This window comes from Homo sapiens, chromosome 10 (assembly GCF_000001405.40).
Source record: "Homo sapiens chromosome 10, GRCh38.p14 Primary Assembly".
NCBI lineage: Eukaryota > Metazoa > Chordata > Mammalia > Primates > Hominidae > Homo > Homo sapiens.
The window spans coordinates 85,055,564-85,062,239 of record NC_000010.11 but is presented as its reverse complement, the minus strand read 5'-3'; positions in this window follow the sequence as shown (position 1 = coordinate 85,062,239).

The following is a 6,676-nucleotide window of genomic DNA, read 5'->3' as shown; positions in this document are numbered from 1 at the left end:
AGATGTAGGGGCTTTGAGAGAAAGTATTTGCTCAAAAAGTTTTAAAACTCAGGTGTGTAGGTGAGTTATTTAAAGCTGGTTTCATTTCACTGAAGAGGAAGCAGACAAGGATAATTTCATTTAAGAATAGCAAGTCAAGACCTTTTAAAGAACAGAGAAAGAGGAAAGAAGATTAAATGCTCTTAGAAAAAATTCTAAAGTGGCAAGTGAAATGCAAATTTTAAATATTCCCCAGCTAGTCAATAAATCCTTACAAATGGGTGGATTGTTCATCATAATTGAAATAAGCCCTTGAACTTTGATTTTCATTAGTCTGGTTACATGCTGTTTAAAGAAACTTTAAATTTAGGTCATCCCCTGTGTTGCAAAACATCTAACAGAAGAAACAAATTACCTCCTCACAGACTCATCTTCTTTCCCTTCATTTTCCTCCGTTACTCAAAATGAAGATAACAATGACCCCCGCACTGGGTCTTCATCAAGTGTTTTTGGCTGGGATAAGAGTCTCTAGTCAAAAGAAGGGTTTAATTTCTGGGAAGCCAATTTTGGTTGTTTTGATTAGGCAATTCTGTGACAAAAGAACTAGGTATTGCATCTGAGTGGAGCCAGCTGTGTTTCCTTTGCTCGCTACTGAGCTGGTTAGGAAAGCATGGCAGGGAACTGATGACCTGGCAGATGGGAGATGGATGGGCAAGGAGGGCAGAGCACTCTCCTTTCAGCCAAAACTGCCATTGCTCCTATGACTAACAAGGGGTTTCATGTTGACATTTTACTAGTATTGCAAGATTTATCAGCTAGGACCACTTTGGGTAAGAAAGAGAAAAGCCAAATCAGGCTTCTGAAGAGGGTGTATTGACCTTCAGTTCCCAAGAGCTCGGAGGTGGGACTCGTATCAGACACAGATTGATTGGAAAGTTTGAGAAATCCACCAGGACTTGGTTTCTCCCACCCTCTGTCTCCACTTGGTTCTGTTCCTCATGGCCTTCATGCTTAGACTAGCTGGAGAACCTCCTGCTCACAGAGAGCCTGAAGCAGCTTTGGCATGCACATTCTCTCTTGGTCTCAGCCAGTGGAGTAGAAAACAGCAAGAGTCCCTTTCCAAGGACTTCTTGCAAAATCTTTTGAACCGGTTACTGTAACCTGGTGACTAGCTTTGACAGAGGTCACATCCTTCCCCGAGGTCCATGCCAAGAATGTGTGTTGTGAATGGAGGAGGGAGAGTCTTTCAGAGGGAAATGAAGCTATTAACAAAGAGGGAGCATGGAATGGGAGGTCATTAAACACAGACATGGCAAAAATGAATATCTACTTTATATACTCTATGTACTTGGCCATGGTGTAACGTTTTCCTAGTATTAAACAGGTTTTTGCTTGTTTTCGCAGTTCTTTCTTGCTACATCTTTGAATGGATTGTATAGCTTTGAGGAAAGTATGGAGAATGTTTCTGTAAGCAATATTTTGCCCCAAAAGGAAGGGAACAAGAGCTTTACCATACATCGCCAGCTACTATGACTTCCATTTTAAAATGTTTATTTGCTTTGCAGCCAAATGTCCTACCATAGAGCTATACAGAGGTAATGCTCATGTTAATTAGCTTGATTTAGCCCTTCCATAGCATATACATATTTCAAAACATTTACACAATAAATATAGATGATGTTGTCAATCAATCAATAAATAAGTTAATTTGCTATATTTAAGACATACAAATATTAAAACAATGCATTAAACATCTGTGCATTCACAACCTGTTAAGGAATAAAACATTGTCAACAAACTAAATGCCCCTTTGGAACTCTCCCAAATAATTTTCCTTTTCCAGAAAAACACTATCTTGAATTTAGTGTTTTTCATTCTTATGTCTTTATTCATATTTTAACTAGAACTTATATGAACCTCTAAGAAACATGCAGTATTGTTTTGTATGTTTTTCATATGTATATATATATATAGTCATATATATTTTGCAACTCTTTTTCTCAAGTACGTTTGATATTTGTAGGTCTAGTTTTTTTTCATCCTGCTATTGTGTTGTGTTCCATTTTTTTTGATGTTTGAATATATCATAATCTATTCATTCTTCAGGTAATGAACATTTGCATTGGATTGGTTCCAGATCTTACTGTTAAGAATAATGTTATTATAAGTGTTTTCCTACATGTTTCTGGCATAAATGTTCAAGAATATCCTAAGGGTATATACCAGCTCAGAGGATTTGTGCAACATCAATTTTACTGGTTATTGTCAAACTAAAAGAGATGGTATCAATTTACACATTCACCAGCAAAGTATAAATGTCCTCATATCTCCATATCTTTCCCAACATATATCATCAGACTTTTAAAATTTTTTCCAGCCTGATTAATGTGAGATTTGTGGTTTTAATGTGAATTTCCATGATTACTAATGACAAAGCATTTTGTCATATCTGTACTGGCAATTCAAGTTTCTTCTGTGAGTTTTCTGTTTACATCTTTGCTGATCTCCTCATGCCCTGGGTTATTTGATTTCTTAGTGTTTGGTGGAATTTTGTATTTTTCTCCTTATTTATCATGCTTTTTTTGTTGGAGGGCAGTGTTAAATGTGTTGCAAATATCCTTTTGCTTAGTTTTTAAATTGTCATTGTGTATATTCCTTAATAAACAGAAAATGTAATTATCATTTTATGAAAATTAACCTACATTTATGATTTATGCTCTTTGTAACCTAGTTAAGAAATCCTCGCTTACCTTTTGTTCAACAAGATGTTTCTCTGCGTGCCTGCTGGGCTTTCCTCATTGCTGGGAAGTCTCACGGTGATACTTCCATAGAAGAAGGAAGCTCACCTCAGAGAGAGATGGCTGGAAATCTCTTAGAATTTGCTCAGTCTTTAAATCTCTTCCAAGCAAGTAACCTACACCAAGAAAGAATGATCTTTTTGGCAGGGGTAAAGATCTTTTATCCTCATGCCTGTGAGATTTTGAACAACAGGAGTGCCCCATCTCAACTGCGTATAATGCAACCGAAGGGCAGATGGTGAAGGCCTTGAACACAGATTCAAAAACCTGCAAACTTATGCCTGAACATTTTGTGCATCTTTTTCACAGGCCCACACACACCCACCCCATGTCCAGAACAGCCTGGTGTGTGATACTGAGGGACCCACTCTTGAGCAGCTGATAACTACACCTCTGTGTGATCTACTGGCCCTGCTTAAGATTAGGAAACTCTCTCTTTCTGTCTCCCCCAGCCTTCTCCCCTACTCAACAACAGCTTCATTTTAGTATTAGGTTTGGGTTTTATTTTATTCTCTCCTTCTCTTTCTCTGCTGTGAGATTTGCATTATCAGGAAAATAGGCAAGAAAATAGGAGAGAAAGTAATGGAAGGTAACTTTTTCAAGTCTGAGAAATATTTTCATCTGCCAACCAGAAAAGCATTCTGACTATGAAACTTGTCAGACAGTCACATTTATCCCTGACAGAATTTTGGAATCACTTTACCTTCAGAATTTTTCTCCAGGATTGGTATTTACTCTAGTTATCATGGTCATCTGGGGCAAGGGGGTAATGAAGTAAAGAAAGAAGTTACTTTGGCTATCAGAAACTAGGATTTATTATCACCTAATTTAAGCCTGCTAACATAGAGGAGCAAGCCCGGTGGTGTGCCAGTCTTAGAAGACACTAGGAAACAGGCTCTTTGTTAAACTGCAATAAAATCTCCATTCTCCTCCCAACTTTCCCTCTCCCATCACTGTTACAGCTCATATCTATCTCATAATAAATAATCAGCTCCCCTGTTGTCTCAATCCACTTACTGCACCACCAATCAATCTGAATGGCCCAGGTGCCTCTGCAGGTTTCCTAACACTTCCACATGTGCTCTGTGTCTCCAAGGACAAGCATGCTTGCATTTGCAAAGGCCCTCTGAGTGGACAAAGAGCAAAGCTGAAATGTTTGGAGTGGGGTCAGGGGAAGGACACAATCTGATGTGATAGTAGAAGGTCCGTCCGTGCAATAGCACTTGGTATTTCAGTTTTTTCAATTCAGTTTCTGTTTCTCTCATGACTTAAAAAAAATTTACACTAAATTGAGTGGTATCACCATGCCTTGTTTCATAATTCAAACAGCTGATTTTATAAGCAATCATGTATCCCTCTTGGACATCAGGATAAACAATATTACAGTGAGATATCATGCCCTTCATTTTCCTTTTCCTGTTTCCCCTGCTAGTTTTCCCCTGCTAGTTTTCCCCTTAAATTAATAATTTCTATTGAAATAAGTAATGTGGTCAAGATGGGTGTTGTGATGGTTAATTTTATGTGTCAACTTGACTGAGCCACACATGCCCAGATTTTTGGTTAAATATTATTCTGGGTGTTTCTGTGAGGGTTTTCTTGGATGAAATTAACATTTAACTAGACAGACTGAATAAAGCAGAAGATCCTCTCTAATATGGGTGGGCCTCATCAAATCAGCTGATGGTCTGAATAGAACAAAAATGTTAACTCCAGGGGAAGGGAGGACTTTTCCTGCCCAACAGTCTCTGATCCAGGACATCATTCTTATACATGAAGTGAAATACCAGCTCTTCTTGGGTCTTAAGTCTGCTGGCTTTCATACTGAAACTTACACTATCAGCTCCTCTGATGCTCCAGGTTGTCAACTACATATTTTGAGACTTGTCAGCCTCTGCAATTATTTGAGCCAATTTCTTATAAGACACACACACACACACACACACACACACACACACACACACCTCTTGGTTCTGTTTCTTGGTAGAACCCTGAGTAATACAAGGGTGTTTCCATTCAGAGCTCAAAACTCAAATCTCAAAGTGAATATGGGGCTCTCTTAGACCTTGAAGAAAATCATACTTACTTTAAAGGCTATTACCCTTTTAAAAAATGAAGGACCCAAAAAATCTTTCAAAAATTCTCTACCTTTCATGCTGGCTATCCAAGGCAATTCATTTTATTCTGATCATGCACTTCCTTTGCTCTGTCTCAGCTTTAGGAAGACAGATACTAACCTCCCTGGGAGAGTCTTTGTTTAGCTCTTTGGATCTTTGGCACCATTAGCCTGACCTTTCCCTTTGTAAAAAGCAGCATGCATTGGCTATTGGGGAGGAGCTGGTCACAGGTAGAAAGGGCACACCAGCTACTCTTCCATCCAGGGAGAGAGTTGATGTGAGTATTGTTCTCTAAAACAGTGTTATCTCCATGACAATTACCACAATCACAAAACCTTCTGCCAGGGATGGGCACATGGTTCACAGTCACCTTCATCTCAGCCACTGGATAAGACAATAGTTTTCCCCCAAGATATATGTCTGAAATCAATCAGCACAAGGAGAGCATACAGCATGATGCTGGGTAGTGGATGTGTGAGGGATTAGAGAAAAATGAGATTGGAGAGAGGGACTGAGGAAAACTCCTAACAAACTGATTCTTACTTAGTCCACTCAGTCCTTCAGCAAACTACATCCTCCAGATGATCTTCTGTGTCAAGAGGGAAGAAGAGCATTTGAGCTCTAAAAGTGAACGTTTGGGATTCCACCTATACAAGGTCCAAGACTGGACCTTGTGCCTGATGTGGGATCTTCTGAGACATGTTTTCATGAGCTAAGTCAACACCCAGGATCACAGACTAAGAGAAAACTTTTTGTGGATTATCAGCGGAACCACCCCCAATATTTCAGTGTAGGTTCTTTTCTACTTTCCCTAAGTGTCGGCCAGTCTGAGAAATAAAGGGAAGGAGTACAAAAGAGATAAATTTTAAAGCTGGGTGTCTGGGGGAGACGTCACATGTCGGCAGGTTCTGTAATGGCCTCTGAGCCGCAAAGCCAGCAAGTTTTTATTAGTGATTTTTAAAGGGGAGGGAGTGTACAAATAGGGTATGGGTCACAGAGATCACATGCTTCACAAGGCAGTAAAATATCACAAGGCAAATGGGGGCAGAGTGAGATCACAGGACTGGAGCGAAATTAAAATTGCTAATGAAGTTTCATGTCCCACTCGGCACGCATTGTCGTTGATATCTTATCAGGAGACAGGGTTTGGGAGCAGACAACCAGTCTGACTAAAATTTACTAGGCAGGAATTTCCTCGTCCTAACAGACCTGGGAGCGCTACAGGAGACTGGGGCTTATTTCATCCCTTATTACAACCGTATAAGACAGACATTCCTAGAGCAGCCATTTTAGAGACCTCCTCATAGGAACGCATTCTCTTTCTCAGGGCTGTTCCTTGCTGAGAAAAAGAATTCAGCAATATTTCTCCTATTTGCTTTTGTAAGAAGAGAAATATGGCTCTGTTCCACCCAGCTCTCAGGCAGTCAGACCTAATGGTTATCTCCCTTGTTCCCTGAACATTGCTGTTATCCTGTTCTTTTTTCAAGGTGCCCAGATTTCATATTGTTTAAACACACATGCTTTATGAACAATTTGTGCAGTTAATGCAATCATCACCGGGTCCTGAGGCGACATACGTCCTCAGCTTACAAAGATGACGGGATTAAGAGATTAAAGTAAGGACAGGCATAGGAAATCACAAGAGTATTGATTAGGGAAGTGATAAATGTCCATGAAATCTTCACAATTTATGTTCAGAGATTGCAGTAAAGACAGGAGTAAGAAATTATAAAAGTATTAATTTGGGGAACTAATAAATGTCCATGAAATCCACAATTTATGTTC